This window comes from Homo sapiens, chromosome 14 (assembly GCF_000001405.40).
Source record: "Homo sapiens chromosome 14, GRCh38.p14 Primary Assembly".
In the NCBI taxonomy this organism is placed as follows: domain Eukaryota; kingdom Metazoa; phylum Chordata; class Mammalia; order Primates; family Hominidae; genus Homo; species Homo sapiens.
This window is the reverse complement of record NC_000014.9, coordinates 22421894-22440081: the sequence shown is the minus strand read 5'-3', so window position 1 is coordinate 22440081 and position 18188 is coordinate 22421894. Positions and strand designations below refer to the sequence as shown.

The window sequence follows — 18188 nt, the reverse complement described above, 5'->3', positions numbered from 1 at the left end:
AAGTGAACAGAAAAATGGTTTAGTTCCAAGGAGATATATTTCAAGAATACATAGTTCACTTGGGTGAAGATAGGTTATGCCTTTGCTCTGGGGTGAAGGGACTGCTTGGTGGCATTAGTTAGAGAGGGAGATTCTTTTATTCTCCATAATATTCCTAGTCGCACTAAGTCTGTCACTATCTGTAGACACCAGCTCAGGATTCATCTCCTCCAAAAGCCTTTCTCTGCTGACTTTATCCAACAAAAACTGTCCCTCCCGGCATCTGTTTACCTACTTGTGACTTTCTAGTAACTAGGGTCTTATTTGGAGGAGTGCACTTTTCATCACATCACTGGGCCATTTGGCCTATGCTACCTACTAACAACCTTCATGCCACTGCTACTCCCTTATTCGACAGTTTTCTCATCAGAACAAGGCACATGACCTGTTAGATTTGGGAATTCAACGTCAGAATTTCACCTTGGGGATCTGCTTCCAGATGGTCCTTAGACCAATGGTCTAAGGTCTTTGGTCATTGGTCTTTCTAAAGACCAGTGGTCTTTAGAAACACATTATTTTAAAAAGTTGGGACTTTGCAAGCATGCTGTATTCCAATGAAATGAATTCAATTCACAACAAACACTTTTTTGAACACTTGCTTTGCACTGGACATTAAGTTCTTTAAAGGAAGGGATTATGTAAGTTAGTTAGATTTGGGTTCAACTTCTTGGTTCATCATATAGCTAGTGTGTAGCCTACTATACAGGTTCTCAGTCACGATCAGTCCCAATTCCTTTACTCTTCCATTATATTCTTTTTTACAGTGCCACGGGTATATTTAGTAAACATTGAAATGTGTGGTTGGAATTGTTCATCACTGATGTTTTTGGTGATATTTGTTTATGTTCTGAAGCTATTGCTGTAGACCAACATGGAGTAAACAGAAAATAATTGGGACACAGGGGCAATAAAACTCATATATTATTTTCCCATGACACTCAGAGGACTCTTCCCAATGCTGAGACATACATAGCGGGTCACGGCTGGGTGTTTTTGGACAAAGGCTTAATGCACTCCAACCTGTGTGGTAGGAAGGCACAATGAAACACATCAGTATAAAAACCCTCTTCTTCCTTTTTCCCTTTCCTTGGCACTTTGCCATCACCACCCGCTGCCATCCACAATACCCCTGAAACTCCTTTCACCAATGCTGTTTTTGTGGTTAAATGCTGTAAAACTCAGACACAAAATTATTATAATTACACAAATCAATAAGTAAAACACCATCAACCTAAAAAACAAATGGGTGAAGGACAAATGAAGAAAGTTAATCATTGATTATCAGACTTGAAAAAGGATTTTAACCCTCTAGTAATAAAACTGTAAAGTATTAACAAACCATTTTTTGCATGGATATTTAATTAAAGCTTTTGCTCAAAATGTTGACACTCCCAATGTGGGCAAGATGTTGGTAAAAATATAAATTGTTTGATTTTTATTGGAAGCCATTTGGTTAATGTCAAAAGAGTAAAAGTATTCGTTTGAGTGACTATTTCCACTTTGGGGAATTTACTGTGAAAAAATACTATATCTATTTGAACATGGAGTAAGGTTCATGATCCTCAGAGAAGAAGAAATCCCTTATATTTGATTCCTTACAATAATTATGAAAAACAGTATTACCATACTTTCACTTAATTATTTGGCTTTGAACAGTTAAGTACAGTTTAGTGAGGACACATTGGAATGATCTCAATCAATGCTAGCTCATGGATGCTTATGGCAGTCAGCTGATAGAATTAGTTAAAAAGATGACTAAGTAGTTTAACAGAAACGTAGTAACTATTTTTTGGGTCTTCCAGTGCCTTCAAGACTGCAAGTGTTTGATATTGTTTAAACAAATCTATCAAAGTAAATGTTTTGTTGTGGAGATCATGAATATTCACTTACAGGATAAATGGCAAAACAATGATTCTAATATTATGTGAGTATGTATTGTGTCTCAAAGTAGGTATTAATAATGTGCCATCATTGAAACAATTTAAAATTATGTTTCTAAATCTAATGTGCCTCTTAATTTTCAATTTAGCAAAGTGAGTTTCATATACTCTGGAAAAATATTTGAGGATAAAAAAGTGGCTCTAGTGGCAACAAATACATTGATTTGAAATGCCTGTGAAGAATTTAAAGTTATTTTATGAATTATTAAAAGGAAATAGCAGTATTCAAAATTGATATATTATTTTATATAATATGTAATTTTAAAATATGTGTGTTTAACTGTATTAATACATTAAAACATCTAAAGTAGAATTGGCTAATTTCTCTATAACCCTAAAGTTTCATATATTCAAGTTGGACAAAATTCTTAACTTTGAATCTTCTAATTAAGAAAATAGGAGCTTACTTTATTATATGTTTATATATATTTATACAAATATAATTGTATATTTGTATATATACCATTTGTATATCTGCTGTGGTTGCTGCAGTGTTTAGCTTATGGCTATTATTGCTATTAAAATACAATGCTCACCTGTGACCCTCCCTGCCAACCTCAGAAAAGCTAAAGTCTTCCTCCGTTTTCATTACTTAAACTTTAGAATGCATTGATTTCAGGTCACATACTGAAATATTCTTGAGATTGAGTTGTGATGGAAATAGAATGAGGGCATATAAGGAATGGGATGTGGAAGTGGATCCAAATCATCATATACATATATGATGACTTTAAATAATGAAAAAGTTGTAAGTACAGGTGTGTTCATCATAATAATTTTCATAGTAGGAAAAATTTAGAAGTTGCCTAAATGCTCAACCATGAAGAGAACTGATTGAGTAAACTATAATGTAGCTCTAGATACAATATTAACATAGCTTATTAAAATTATTGAATAGGAAAAATATCCAATAGCATGGAAAATTGAATATGTAATGGATACAAATGTGTATATGGAGTATGATTACATATACAGAGTATATGTAATATATGTATATGTAATATACATATATGGAGTATATGTAATACACGATTACATACACAGAGTATATATAATCATATACATACAGTATATAATGAATTCTAGGAGGGAAAGAGCTCACTGAGTTTAGCTCCCAACCAATGTAGACAACCTTCCCAGTGTAGTCATCCACCGAACTCATCCACTGACAAGGATGCTTGTTTCACTGTTGAATGGCTATCAGCTCTTACAAAGCTATTCCTGCTATTGAAATGAAATTTCTTTCCAGGCATCTTTTTTCCTCTATTGGGCCTAATTCTGCTGCAATGCCTTTCCCCATGGTCAGGCTAATGTTCTCTCTGGTTGTCTGCTCCAGCTGGACTTCTCCCTGGACAGAGGAAAAGAAGTGTCCACTGTGGGAGGCTCCAGACTCTCTGTGTATGATCCACACTGAACCTCCAAACAAAGAGAGAACAAACCTCTGTCTTTCATTTTGGGCAGTGTTCCTCAGGCTTGGAAAATTCTGCTGTGGTTGCTGCAGTGTTTAGCTTATGGCTATTATCTTTATGAAAATACAATGCTCACTAGCGACCCTCCCTGCCAATCTCAGAGAAGCTAAAGCCTTCCTCTGTTTTCATGACTCAAACATTAGTACGAATTGATTTCAGGTCATTTCTTGAGATTGAGGTTTGATGGAAATAGAATGAGAACATATGAGGAATGGGATGTGGAGGAGGGCCCAAGAAAATGGCCCAGACAGATGAGGATGGGGAGCCACAGATGACCTACTTCACTGTTTACAATGGGCGGACAGCTAGCAGCTTCCCGAACTATTGCCAAGACTCTGCATCATTCCAGCCACAGTGAAGCACAGTGTGTGTGTGTGTGTGTGTGTGTGTGTGTGTGTGTGTATTCTGCACTAGCACCCCTTGAATTCTCATATTTTCTTTCAGAGCTCCGAAGGAAATACACATTCTAATACTAACGGTGACATTTTCTGAGGAAGTCAGGTTAATATGAATTCACATGATAAATATTCTGCATCCACATCATTATTTTTCTCCTTGCAAAAATGTTTCTCTCCTTGCACTTTGTCCTCTTCCTTCCTATCTTTCTTAGCCTTACTCAGTAGGCAGTGCACATCAGGGACCACTTTCTTGGGGGAAAAAGTTAAAAAGTCTGCACACTTAGGGGTGGCCAGGGTACCATCTGGTACAAATAGTTGCAGTACAAGGACATTCTTGCAAGGCCTGGCACAGACTAGTGATGATATCCTGATAAGCAGAATCCCCATTCACATTGCTCTACATGCAGAGAGGGGCCTATCCAGGGTATGACCATGATGTGGGAGTCACAGTTGGGCAAGGACAGGGTATAGGAAGGCATTATGTCAAAGCTACAGGTAGAGCTGCAGATTTTCCTAGTGTACACGTAAAGTTGTAATGCCAACCTTCCAATAATTCTTTTAACTCTGTCTTAGCCTTCTTATGGCTTAGTAGTAATCTCTTAATTTCCAACATAGTGAATTAAATCCCTGGAGATGCTCGGGAGAAAGTCTCCTAGTCTTTCTCTTTGACAGTTGTTAAATGATTGATGGGATCACACGTATGGGAATATCTAAGAAGCTGATTCTCACGCTGCGTTCTGGTGGAGGCTTCCTGGGTAGTTGGTTGTTGTGACCCACATCTGTTGTAAATTGGCTCAAAGCCTGCAGGTTTTGTTTTCTGAATTGGAAAGGAACTCAAATGTGGGGTGTTAAGGGTACAGGGGACCACAGGATGTGGACATTCTGGTTCTCTGGTGCCTCATAAGGAAGATGCATCTGTTAGATCAAGCAGCTGGTGAGAAGACCAAGTCAGCAGTGGGCACGGGCAGTTTCCCAGCACTCAGGCCCCATCTGTCCCACCACTCTCCACTTTTTTCTTAGAATATGAGCTTCTCCAGGTTTATTAGCCAAGCTGTATAGTTAGATCTGACTGCGGGTGTCAGGGTGATGGTGTAAATACTGCTGAACAAGGAGATCCTTCCTCCATATGTGATGGAGACCAAATGTCTTTGGGTGTGGAAGACAAAGAGTCATGGCAGAATTATCCTAACGCTTCCTGGCAAGCAATTTATCCAGAGAGAGTCATAGTAGGAAGAAAGCTTTTCCATTGTTTTTCCATTAAAATAGAGGTTAGTAAATCTTGGTACAAAATTGTCTCCCCTCTACACAGTCAATTGGCATTGATAGCTGAGTTAATTACTGTATCTAGGAGACAGTCTCAATTTTTATCATTGAATTCTGTGTATGCAGAAGCAATGCACAGGAACTGGGGAAATATATTCAAATGGAAATATAGAGTGATTTAAGACTTGCTTTATACATAGTCTTTGGCATCTTTGTGTTGGAGAGGGGAAGGTTTTCATCTGGAGTCACATTCACTTATGCCACTTTGGGCCTCCACACTAACACAAGAGTGTGTTGGCTTGTACTTGGTTACTTCTGAGTAGATGAGGCTTGCCATAAACCCACTGGAGAATGAGGTATGATATTAGGAAGACAAAAGTAGACTACAGAGTTGGAGTCGTCTAAGGTGACAGTGCTTTTTCTTCCATTGAAGGTGTATGATCTGGATATCTCCCATTTATAGTCCACAGAACTGCTACATTGGAGTCTTTACCCAGGAGCCTCAGAGGACTCAAATATCCTGAAGAATCTAAGATTCAGTTCTGAGCCTTTACAGGAGCAATATGTTGATAGCTCAACCTTTTCCAATAACAAGTCACAGTGATGAAGTAGCTGGACCTGGATTTACGCAGGAACTCCTTAGTCTTTTGGAGCCAGACACTTTTAAGGGTCATAACATCAGTGGAGTTCAGGCTCAGTCTCAAAATGCTGCTCTGAGAAAAATGCTCACAAACGTCGCAAGGTGGTGCTAAATTTCAGACACACATGAGTTTGGGGTGGGACAGAGAAGCAAGCAACAGCAACAACAAAAAAACCCTCCAAAACAGAGTAAGGAGACCCGTTTTACATCACTTTCCTATTGAGATATAAATGGTCTTAGAATGATCATTGTTGGAGGTGTAAGGCTCAGGGTGGGAGAGAGTGGGAGGAGAACTAAGAGGTGGGAAATTTGAAGAGAATCAATACTCTGAGTAGATATCAAAGTATGATTTTAAAAAATATAGGCTCAAGGATTAAGAACAGACTGAGATATTTATAAATAAATGCTGCAGAAAACACCAAGTGAATGACTGGGTATGGAACAATAATATTGAGATCTTTTTTTTTTTTTTTTGAGACTGAGCCTCACTTAGTTGTCCAGGCTGGTCTTGAACCCCTGGCTCAAGCAATCCTCCCACCTCAGCCTTCTGAGTAGATTGAGAGTGTCTTTTGCTGATGTCCTGTTCCAAGGCAGTGCAGGCTTGAGCTCTTTGCTCCTGACAGCTGCCTGGGATAACAGAGAAATGAAGGAGGAAATCTCTTTATAAAGGTTTCTAAAGAAATTAAAAAAATTAACTTGTACATTGACTTTGTAATGGAAGTGAGAACATACAGGAAAGCCCTTTGGGGAGTTAGCTTTAGAAGGGAAATACCGGGAAATACAAGTAAGACAAGGCACTTACAGAAAAAGTAGAAATTTCATGTTTAATAAATGGTCAAATTTAACATAGCTCTGAATATATAATTTTCCATTAGAATATTGGTAACAACATTGCAGTAAACTTGAGTCTGGGTACCCCGCACTGAGTAAAAATGGTAGATTCTATTTTGTGTGAGTTCAGTCAAAGAGACATGGGGGACAATTAGTCCGGTCTCTGCTTCTGTTGTTTAGCAGAGCCTCCAGCCCGGAAGCACACTGAGATGTCTTGTGTTTTTCAGATCTTTAATTTTTGAATGCTGTACTGTACCCAAGGACCTCGCTTTTTTTCACTGTGCATATGCATGATGTGGGACATCCCATATTGGAGACACAGATGACTTATTGAAAGCCCTGCCTAAGACTTAATTAATATCAGCATTTCAAGTAGCTTGCAAGATTGGATTCTGTGGCTATATACTATAGGAATATAGACTTCCTGGTCTTTTTCTTACTGCCTCCAAATATAACCAGATAATCCTCTGTCTGGTTTCTTGGGAGCCACTTGTATCTTACTTTCTTGCAGGAACATTCTAAAGGGTTCCTTCAGAAAACTTGGGAAAGTGTAAGACTAAAGACAAACCACAGCCTGAAGCCTAGGCTGCTGACTTGAGCACAGATGGGAGAATGTTAACAGCCAAGAAATATGAGGTCTTTGGCTCTTTTCCCAGAACTGCCAGGCTAAGACCTTGGCAGAGACTCAACAGGAAACTGAACTCTATTTGCATATCCTTTTATACATGGGAGATTAAAAGCTTCAACCTTGAGTGATCACAGTTTTTGAGAATCATGATGAGGCATTAAAGAAGAGGAGGAGTGTCTCAAGGGAGGTGAGCTGGAGGTGATGCAAGGTAGGTGTGAGGTTAGCCACGACTTTCAATCCCCTTTGATTAATCAAGAGTGTATTTCGTTTAGTTCCTTTTTTCGATTTTATCCTTACTGGGTCACATAAAGGAATCAGCTGCAGGAATCCATACTCCTGTATCTCAGGAATCTTTCAAATTTGTTCTCCTATGTCCCACGGCTTGTTAGTGCTGAAGGAAACTTAGAGACAATCTAATGTGAACTCTTTACTGTACAGATGAGAATCTGAGGTGCAAAGAGGTTAACTGACTTGTCTACAGTCACACACAAAGTGAAGAGTAAGAGTTCTGACACCTGAATGAATTTTTTTCTTTCCAGCAGACTGCTAGCTCTTTTTAGCAGGTGGAAGTTTCCTCAGATCTCAGAAAGCTTCTTTCCAATGTGTGATTTGGCGCAGATATCCTGAACTATCTTTCCTCATCAGAACATGCATTTCTGGCAAGACAGTGGCTCTCATTCCCTGGCTTTTCCCCCCAGTTTCCCTAGATCAGGTCCCTATAATTCTTTAGTGGAAGAAGCCAAAGAACAGGAATTAGGCTATTTATCCTTGGAATTCATTTAGAAAAACTTGGTTTTTCTTGGCCAAGCACTACAGTGAAAACTAACTTCATGTAGACAGCATGGGCCAAATGAGGATGGACAGCTGACTCATCACAGGTCAGTAATTAATATTATAGTTTCCCTTTTAAGGATGGGAGAAGATCTCTGTTCCTAAATGGATGCAAGAATTAAATGTGTCCTAGAGCATCCATAAAGCTGGGTAAGGATGAACTTTCTGAAGACTGAGACTCCTTTGTGCAACTCTTGTCTCAGACATCTGAACCAAGTTTGTTGGAGAAGGTTTGATGTAAAAAATTCATTCATGCAGGGCGTGAGGTCTCATGCCTGTAATCCTGGCACTCTGGGGGGCCGAGGCAGGGGCATCACTTGAGCTCAAGAATTTAAGACCAGCCTGAGTAATATAGGAAGACCTTGTCTCTACAAAAAATTAAAAAATGACCCAGGCATGGTGCTGCACACCTGTAGTCCCAGCTACTTAGGAGGCTGAGGCGAGAGGATCACTTCAGCCCGGGAGGTTGAGGCTGCAATGAGCCATGGTCATGCCTCTGCACTCCGACCTGGGCAATAGAGCGAGACCCGGTCTCAAAAAAAAAAAATTACTCTCCCTGTTACTATTGGTGAAGCTGACATTGACCTGTGTCACCTTCATCTCTGCAAATGAAGGGCAATGAGGGCATCATCTCTTGTTGGGGAGCTAGACCCTCCCAGTGATGGTCTTGCCTTTGGGACCTTCACTATCATTAGTGCAGGGAAAGGATTTAGAGAGGTTGTGTGGGAAGAACATTCCTGAGGAGGTATTTTTATAAAAAATGTGCTGATAGGCACTTTAGATTTCTTGGTTTGGAAAAATGCTGGTGGTCATTGGCCATGTTCTCTCCCATTCTAGCTTTTCTGTCTTTTCTGTCTCCTTCTGTCTGGAGTAGAGGGTGAAACCGCTCTACTGCAGACCATCGGGTGCTGAAAGGAATGGAGTTAGTATTATTGAGCACCTCTGCTTTGTAGTCACTCAGGTACTTACTTGCAATTATTTAATTTGATCATTATGATAACTCTATGCAATTATTATCCTTATTTTGTGGATGAGGGAATAGAGGGTTAGAAAAGTTAAAGCAACATTTTTCAAGGTCACAGAACTATGAAGTGAGGGGTTGTGATTCTATTTTTCTCTGATTCCAGAGCCTATGCTTTTTTCACTACTAAAAGAACTTACTTATAAAAACTCATATGTGTCCGGGCATGGTGGCTCACATCTGTAATCGTAGCACTTTGGAAGGCCAAGGCAGGTGGATCACCTGAGGTCAGGAGTTCGAGACCAGCCTGGCCAACGTGGTGAAACCTCGTCTCTACTAAAAATACAAAAAATAGCTGAGCGTGGTTGTGCCTGCCTGTAATCCCAGCTACTCGGGAGGCTGAGGCAGGAGAATCACTTGAACCTGGGAGGCAGAGGTTGCAGTGAGCTGAGATTGTGCCATTGCACTCCAGCCTGGGCAACAAGAGTGATACTCCGTCTCAAGGAAGAAAAAAAACCAACAAAAACTTATATGCAGTTTATAGCCCAAATTTGTAAACTTGTCCATTTTAAGGTAGGTGAAAGGATCTTGCCAAAGTTAGGGGCAATTTGCAATTCATTGTTTTTAAATTTGACACACATTAATATTTTTGTGAATGATTAAGGCTATTTATTTTTGTATATCGCTTTACCTACCTGGACTGCATTGCCACCTAGAAGGTGGCAGGAGGTAGTTGTCTGGAATGTGGAGAACACTCCGCTGCCATTTTTCTTTCACTTTGGCATGATCACATGGTTTACCCTTTCTGTCTTTTCTTAGCCCTTGACTTCTAGGATATTGGAGGAAAGAGACAGAAGTACAGTATATCACTTTACCTGTCTGCACTATATGTGTGATGTTGGAAAAGTCACTTAATTTCTTCATTCATCAGTTTCTATGTCTTCAACCAAAGAGGTGGAGCCTGATGGTAATTGGTTTCTCATTGCTCTGACACTCTGAGTGTGCATATGTGGGGGTGGACGTCCTCCATACAGAAAGCAAAATGATGGTTTTGATGCTGAGAAATGGACTAGCTATGAACTCAAAGATTTTACATTGATTCTTACTACAGAGGTGGGTTATTGTTATTGTACCAGTTCTCTAATTTCAACGTACAGAGGCAGCTACACTGGCCTTCGTGGTTTTTTTCTGTGTCCTTATTTATGAACTTGGTGCATAAAACCCTTCTTCATTTCCTTAGATGACTGAGGCAGTTAATCCTTTATTGATCACTCACGATTATAACACAGGTGTTATGCAAACACAGTGAGGTCTTTATGCCCGAGGAGGCCTTCGCTGTGACAGAGCTTCTGACAACACACACTCAGGCTGTGTCTCCTTTGTACTGTCCCTGGGGCTGCTGACTTCCCTTCTCACTGCCTCTAAGTAAAACTTCTCACTCCTGTCAGGTGGCAGGTAAAGACAGAAACTGACTCTAGGGCCTACCTTAGGCCGTGTGATCCCAGCACACTCAGAGGTCCTGGAGGGTGAATCCCTAAAGCTGAGCTAGGGATGGTAAAGGCACTCCAGCCTTCTCCATAGTGGCTCCACAGTCCTCAGGTTTCTCTATGATTGGCTTTTTGGAGAAGCCAGAAAAGAAAAACCAAGAACCCCACTGAGGTGAACACATGATTGATTTCAGCTCCACAACTGAGTGAGACAGTTTTTGGGAGGCACATCAACCTGCAGGTATAGATGAGGCTGCAGGTTCTTTTCCGGGGCTGCTAGAGTGGAGTCATCTGGGGACCAGTGAGAGAAATGCATCACTCACTTTGTATTCTTATCCCTGTGGTTGGGGAAGAAACACTCACCAGTCCACAGAATGTGGTCACGTGACTAGGGAGAGACTCAAGGCAAAGGGCTCAAAATGCCATGCCCCATTTTCCGTTTGTCAATAATCAGTGCTGTCATCTTCCTGTTCATGTTGTAAGTTTTGATCTTTTCAGGACTGCTTCCTTGCCAAACCCTCGCGTCCACTCCCCAACACACTTTGTGCTAATTAATGGCATTTCATCGCTTGATTTTGAAAAATGAAAGTGTGAACTACTTGTGAAAGAGCTCTTAGCAAGATAAGAAAGAAAAAATGACTCCTTATCTCCCTAACCTACAGAAAAGCTGGTATGATTATGTCTTAAGAATGTGCATGAAAATGTTATTTCTAACAGAGGGAGTCCAGCAAACATCCACACTCCAAATACTGGGCTCCCTGCCTACACGCAGGCCTTTGCTGAAATGTCACCTTCTTATTGTATCCCTTCTTGACAACCTGATTTAAAATTGTAATTTCTGCAAGCCTGCTGACAACACTCTCTCTCTCCCCGCCTGTTTTACTCCTCTCCATGGCAATTATCTCCATCTGACATATATTTTACTTATTTTATTTTGTGTTTATTTCCACTGAAATATAAGCTCCTGAGATTCTGAGAGCTGTGCTTCCATTGTGTCTAGAAAAGCGTCTGGCACATATGAGGTACTTAATGAATTGTTACTGAGTGAATGCTGCTATATTCTATGAAAGCAACTTTAATTTCCAAAAGACTGTACTTTGGGTTTTTTTTCTTAATAATTTGTTGCCCTAGTAATATATTTAGACTGACATTTCTTTTCTGAAAGTTATAAATACTCATGCAATTTTGTCCTTAAGCCAGAAAGATAATTTAAACTTTCCCTATTCTCCCATATGCATGCAGGTAAAAAGAAAACTTATGACTGTTAGATTTCTTATTTAAACATGGAGTTTGAGAACCTGGCTTTATTTAAATTAATACAAGCAATTGCATGTTGGCTTGACTTCCTTTGCCCTGTCACTGGGTCTTTTTTCTATCAAGTCGAGCATGCTGGGTGGCACACTGTTCCACTGGCTGACTGTTGCCTTGGAGCCTTGCAGCATCCAGGGCACGCCTTCAGAGAATCCCTGCAGTGTTTCATGCACTGGAATGTACGCTGTTACCGCTCATAAACCTATGTGTTTGTGGATGTGTAAATTGCTAAAAAGCCCAAAAAGACCCAGTGGATTCTGTATTCTTGAAGAATACCAAAATCATTTGGTGGCAGTGGTGATAAAGTGAGAGGGAGTTAGGAATCGCCCCTTTGTTTAGGAAACTGTGTTATCGTGGCTTTTCATTGTGAAATAGCATGCCCCAGCCAGTCTGTTTGGAGAGAAGCGTTGCGAAATTCCTTTGTGAAATAAAACAGAAGTGTTTCGCTTTTTCTTTGACAGCCTCAGACTCAGGGCTGGGACCCTTGGGACTCAAAAGAGAGAAAAGGTGGAGAAAAGAGAAAGCTACTATTTTCTTCATTTTGCCCCTGCTAACATCCAATGCACTTAGGAGCCTCGATGTCTGCTCTCCAAGAGTAAGTTATTTGGTGTTCCAGAGTACTCTATAATCAACTCTTCAGAAAATCTTGTTACGGTCAGTAGCATTTTTTTAGTGGGTAGATGAGGCTTGGGGAGAACATCTCAGAAGGCAGAGTCCGCACCAGCCTTGTGCACCACTGTGTCCCTGGCATCCAGCTCAGTGCAGGGTACGTAGCACTCACTCATATGTATTTCATTCCCTCATTCATTTAATACATTTATTGAGTGTCTGTTATGGGCCAAAGTTATTCTAAGTGCTGGAGTTAAAGCAGTGAACAAAACAGACAAAAACTCATCTCTGCCATCAAGGACCTTGTATTCCAGTGGAGAGCCAGACAACAAAATATAAACAAGTAAAATATGTAGCATGCCAAATAGTGATAAATGCTGTGGAGAAAAATTAAGCAGATATGAGAGATGGTATTTACTGAAAGAATGAATAAAGTGCTCTGACAAAAAAAAAAGCTGTATAATCCTATCATTTCAATTAATATTTTAGGGTAATGTGTTGAATTGAAGAGTAGGAAAGGAGCTTTGATTCTGAGTTTGTTCACCTTGTCATTATGGAAAATTTATCATTGAATATGTATTGTTTAAGATACTGCAGTGGACTAAGACCCTAACTAAAGCAGAGACATTTAGTTAGAAATTAATTTCTATTCTTTACACGGTGGCTCCTGCACCTTCATCCACCGCAGTGTTTTCTGGTACCCGTGTGCTCACTTTTGAATGCAGAGAATTGTGGTTGTCAGATCTCAAGCCCCATTGCTGCCTCTGTATAAGTGATAAGTCGATGACAACGGAAGAGACAAACTTGCACACTTTGCTTGACAGCAAAGATATATGTGGGTGGTAAAGTCACCAACTCTATGGACCTGACAGAAACCCAGGGAATTTTTCTAGCTCTCATTATGCCGGCCTTGGACCCCTATGGTTTTCGCTCCAGGCAAGCCCCTGAAAAGGAGAGGAAAAGGCAGTGAATCCATGAGCACCCCGAGGATCTAAGGGAGTCCAACAAGAGACTACCTTTGACAAGCATCAGAAGGAGGGAATATGTGGGCCAGTCTCTCATGTTTCTCATGGTGTACCCTGGGAGAAAAGCTGCTGACCTAGGGGTGGTGCTCAGGAGTGTGAGTGGCAGTGGGCTGGGGAGTAGCTGTCTTCCTTCAGTCAGGGGAGTGAGCCATCTCGGGAGAACAACCTGGAAGCTGAAATTACAATTGGTGTTTTAAAGCAGGGGAGAGGAGGCAGGGGGAAGGAGTTGAAGACCTCCTACTATCCCTTCTTCTGGAAACTGGCCAAGGAGTCAAGAGCAATCTTTGCATGAGCAAAGATGACCAGACTTCACATACCTGTTCCCAGCCATCCTTTACATGAGATGTTGCTATAGGTAAGGTATTTCTTTAGGACATTCCGCAGCTCCCAGCCCAGTATCCCAGCCAGGACAATCAGGCTTCAAGTCAGATCCGGATCCTGGCTCTGCTTCTGTAAGCAAGCTGTCCAGCCTGTCTGAGTCTCAGTATCCTCACTTGCAAAACAGAAAGGATGATAATGACCTCACTGAGTTGTCATAGGATAAGTGAGTCCATACCTGTAAAGTGGCTGCATTTCGTTGGTGCTCAGTAATTTAGTTCACTTTCTTCTCAATTATTCTTCCTTGCAGTTTGCTTTTTCTTATAATAGGTAACATTTATTAAATAGCTACTATAAGCTATGCAATTTATTTACTTTCTATAATTATATATTTTATAACACAGTGAAGGTAGAACTCTTATTATCCCCATTTCACAGATGAAGAGATGCAGATGATTTTAGAAGACAGTGTGAAGCTTGTGTCAGGATCACAAAATCTCAGTTAGAAAACACTTGAGAGGTCATTTGGGACCATTGTTCTGTTGTCCCAGTTTTTTGACAGATGGTCACGGGAGTATCAATTGGAACAGGTTTGGTGGTGAGGGCACAGCCCCTGTTGTCCCTTGGTTCTGACACATCCTGAAGGTGGCTTTCTCTATGGGTCCCCCATCTCCCCAAATTACATGCTGTGTCCTCTGGTGCAGCATCAAGAGTCTGAAATCTGTCACCCTCCCTTACTAGCTATGCTACTTTGGGCAAGTATTTTAGGTTTTCTGTGCCTTGGGGTTCTCATTTGTAAAATGAGGACAAGAATAGAAAGTAAATACTAAGGTTGTTGTGAAGATTAATCATATAACACACGTTAAGTGCTTAGAATGCTGCCTGGCACATAGTAAGCACTCAACAGATATTAGTTATTAATACGGAAGACATACAGTCTTATGGATTTGTCCAGATATTTTTTCCCCTCCTTCTCCTTAGAGACACTCTTCCCAGTCTCTGTTAGAGGGAGTCACTTGGGGTCTTACTAGGAATCCATCTTGCAGGCGTTATAAAACCATGGCTCCACAACTTTGACATCTGCATAACCAGTTTTCCAGATGTCATTCTTTTTCCAAATCATGATTTCAAACTAGGAGAATAATTGTATCCTCTCCATGTTGGAGATGCACTCCACCTTCTTGCCTATCATTTGTTCAAAGAAGGAGAATTAGATCTGAGTGGCAGGCAGTGGGCTTGATGAATCATGACAGGCCCTCTGTTTAAATACATCTGGGGAAGGCTGGGTCCAAACCCCTTCCAAGATCGTGGAGCTCAGAGTGCTGTATCTGGATGGGGATTTGGGAACCCGATTTTGTCCAAGGGCAGAGCCAGTATCCAGGGCCTTGCAGACCGTTCAACCAAAGAAGTTGCCCAATGGGGTGGGGCAGAAAGGTAGAAGGCAGGTTCCAGGCCTATGTTGGGATCATGCATCAGGTCAAAGTGAGTGAGTTTGGGATGAAGAGTAGAGAAGAGAGATTTTCTGAAGGTTTAGAATATAGCTATTTGGGGAGATAAATGATAAGAGCTCATGGGGGCAGTCATGACTAAAATGCATGGAACAACGACACATTATAACATATATATATAACATGTATTATATATATGAAAGGTCAGGCAGAATCATGAGAGGAGAGAGGATTGGGAAGACACTTGGCAAAACAGTGAAAAGCCCTGACTGAAACCAAATAAGGTGTGGCAAGCCCTGTCAGCCTCTTTGTACTTCTGTGGAAGATATTTGACTAGAGGATATTTGACTAGAGGGGTTTGTTGAAGAACATTTTGTGTAGACGTTGCCTGAAGTAGTCCAAAGAAGCCTAAAAAATCCATTTTGGGTTTAAACAAATATTTTTACAAGTGTATTGAGGTATACTTGATGTGAAATAAACTGTACACATTTAGAGTGTCTAATCTGATGAGTTTGATATGCCTGTACATCTGTGAAACTATCACCGCAATCAAGTCACTGACCATGTCTATCACCACAAGTTCTTATGAGGTTATTTAACAAGGTAAGTGGTAGATTTTCTAGATGAGGACAGAAGGAAGGCTGATTTCTGCCACAGGTTCAGCCTTGGAGTAGAGAGCCCCGTCAATCATCTAAATCTGGAAAAACACATTGTTCAAGATAAAAGTGCAGTGTTAAATTGAGCTGTCCAAAGAAGGATAAGGAAGTGCCAGTGGAAGCAATTTTTCAACGTTTTGTTTCTAGCACATGTGGAAGTAAAGAGATAGAGAAGAAAGGGAGAGCAAAACACCATATCCAGCTTGGGCCCAGGAGTGTGAGGCTGCAGTGAGCTATGATCACGCCACTGCACTCTAGCCTGGGGGACACAGCAAGACCCCGTCTCATGAAGAAAACAAAACAAAGCAAAACAAAATATCCAGTCAGTAATCATCAAAACAACAGAGCATGCTAGAGATGCTAGAGATGTAGCCTTTCCTTCCATGTTGGGCAAAATGACAGGTAGTGTACATATTTGATCTGAAGGAGGGAGAGGAGCCTCCCCCCACTGCCAGTCCTTTTCCTCTAGAACATGTAAATTCAGAGGCATGTGGCTGGGGAAAAACTGGATGTCACCCATAGTTGTAAATTGTAAGGTGCCTCCTTAATCTATGCTATACTCTAAGCACTGTGGCTCTGTGGTCATACCTTTTATGAGCCTCCAAGAAAACTGTCACAGTAGATGCTACAGTTCATTCCTTTGGCTCCATCTCTCCTCTCTTCTGTCCCACTGGGGGCTGCCTATCTGAGCACCATGGGAGGGCACGGGCAAGCTGAGTGGCTGAGCCTGAAAGAAAGGTAGAAACACTAGCTTTCTCTGGTCCCTATTTCCTAAATTATTTATTCAAGAGAAAATCACGATCTTGTTGGAATTGCTGCTCTACATGGATGGCAATGTTCTTTTTTTTTTTTTTTTGAGATGGACTCTTGCTCTGTCTCCCAGGCTGGAGTGCAGTGGCATGACCTCGGCTCACTGCAAGCTCCGCCTCCCATGTTCACGCTATTCTCCTGCCTCAGCCTCCTGAGTAGCTCGGACTGCAGGTGCCCGCCACCACGACCAGCTAATTTTTTTTTTTTGTATTTTTAGTAGGGACGGGGTTTCACCGTATTAGCCAGGATGGTCTCGATCTCCTGACCTCGTGATCCACCCACCTCGGCCTCCCAAAGTGCTGGGATTACAGGTGTGAGCCACCGCGCCTGGTCAGTGGTTTTTGAGCTGCTCAGAAGTAGAGCTGCAGCAGGGTGGGTGTCACAGGCACAGTAGTAAGACCCTTCATCTCTCTCTGATGGTGCAAGTATCTTAAGTACAGCCAGGTTCTTTGCAATATCAATGTCACCTTGGAAATTGTCTTTGAAACCAGGGCCATAGATGTCCTTTTCTCGGTATATGAAAGTCATTGTGTTACCTTGGGTCTTCCTGTACCAGTTGATATAGTAGTTACCGATCGCTTCTCCTTTCATGGAGCACCTGAGGGTGGCAGGGACCCCTATTGACACAGGCACTGTTTGGTGTTCAGGCACCAACTCAATGGCTGACATGACTCCTGAGAGAAAAGACACAAGAGAGGGGCTCAGTGAGGGCTGGGGGCTGAGGTCATTGAGTAAGGAGCACAGTCCATGAGTACAAGGTCCTGTGAGCCTTGATGTTTCTTTGCTGCTGAGTCTTGCTTGGCCCAAGTTCTGGGGTCTGCCTTACCTGCCCAGAAGAGAGAGAGATGGATGAGGGAGGAGATCCTCTGCATGGCTCACTCAGGGGCAGCTCTGCCTCTCAACCACCTTCTGCCTGGTCCCTCCTCTGAACCAACACACTTGTGAAACACTTGTGACTGAGGAAGTCAGTCCCTATCAGCAGCTGTTTCATTCCCCAGAGAAATCTAGCTGATCACAGGAGGCTCGCAGGGCCTGCTGCCTGCTAATGGGATGACAGTGCCACCTTCAAGACCAATAGTACGGTTCAGGTAAGTTAGGCCAACTGAGAGGAGATTAAGGCAGCTTATTTAATTGGTGACAGGGTTTCTGCTTCCTTCCCTAGACGTTAAATTTGATATTGTTGTTCCAGTTTCAGGTTAGATGTACATGTTAGACACTATGTGGTGATGTTCATAGTTCATACCAAGAAGAATTATTGGCATTTACAGCTGTAATCAAAAGAACCACCAAATGAGGAGATCAACAGCATGTGCACAAAGACTGAAGATGTTGTAATGATTGTTGTGTTCACTGCAAACTCCCTCTAGGCAAAGTTGGATAAGGGTGATTTACCCATGTGTTAAAGAGCAATCCAATGAAACATGGTCTTCCAAATGTGAGCCAGAGTTTCCTGATCTTTATTGAGCTCATCTAGCTTCTTTTCTGAAGGGTTCTTAGGTTACCTGTGTTAAATTACACAAAGCC

The 18188-nt window shown here is 41.5% G+C and overlaps 1 long non-coding RNA gene, 3 gene segments (V, D, J or C) and 2 further genes, besides 5 other annotated features; 1 reads left to right on the top strand and 5 right to left on the bottom strand.

Moving 5' to 3' along the window:
- The window catches only part of TRD (T cell receptor delta locus), a 44032-nt gene extending 26496 nt beyond the window's left edge, over positions 1 to 17536 (bottom strand).
- The window catches only part of TRA (T cell receptor alpha locus), a 930229-nt gene that overhangs the window by 112051 nt on the left and 799990 nt on the right, over positions 1 to 18188 (bottom strand).
- TRD-AS1 (TRD antisense RNA 1) overlaps positions 1 to 18188 on the top strand; it is a 103555-nt gene that overhangs the window by 42878 nt on the left and 42489 nt on the right. For 2 of the 4 annotated variants that reach the window (NR_148362.1, NR_148364.1), the window contains exon 1: positions 7329 to 7416. The exons of 1 other annotated variant lie outside the window; for it this stretch is intronic. This is a non-coding gene — a long non-coding RNA (TRD antisense RNA 1). Of the gene's footprint in view, positions 1 to 7328; positions 7417 to 12259; positions 12394 to 18188 lie in introns of those variants that run through there. One more of the 4 variants, NR_148363.1, reaches the window with a different exon arrangement.
- On the bottom strand, positions 1067 to 1075 carry TRDD2 (T cell receptor delta diversity 2). The segment is given in 1 exon segment: positions 1067 to 1075. A coding segment is annotated over 1 exon segment (9 nt), but the record flags the coding sequence as incomplete, so codon positions are not given.
- Positions 1528 to 1535, bottom strand: TRDD1 (T cell receptor delta diversity 1). The segment is given in 1 exon segment: positions 1528 to 1535. A coding segment is annotated over 1 exon segment (8 nt), but the record flags the coding sequence as incomplete, so codon positions are not given.
- Positions 6682 to 6741: an enhancer, noted in NCBI's record as "active region_8115". NCBI's record gives its function as "activates an Ori minimal core promoter by ATAC-STARR-seq in GM12878 lymphoblastoid cells {active_cell/tissue: GM12878}" and the evidence as "EXISTENCE:reporter gene assay evidence [ECO:0000049][PMID:35858748]".
- Positions 17001 to 17009: a recombination feature (nonamer).
- Positions 17010 to 17032: a recombination feature (spacer).
- TRDV2 (T cell receptor delta variable 2) lies at positions 17040 to 17536 on the bottom strand. The segment is given in 2 exon segments: positions 17040 to 17338; positions 17491 to 17536. Coding segments are annotated over 2 exon segments (345 nt in total), but the record flags the coding sequence as incomplete, so codon positions are not given.
- Positions 17328 to 17338: a sequence feature (TRDV2 leader sequence).
- Positions 17491 to 17536: a sequence feature (TRDV2 leader sequence).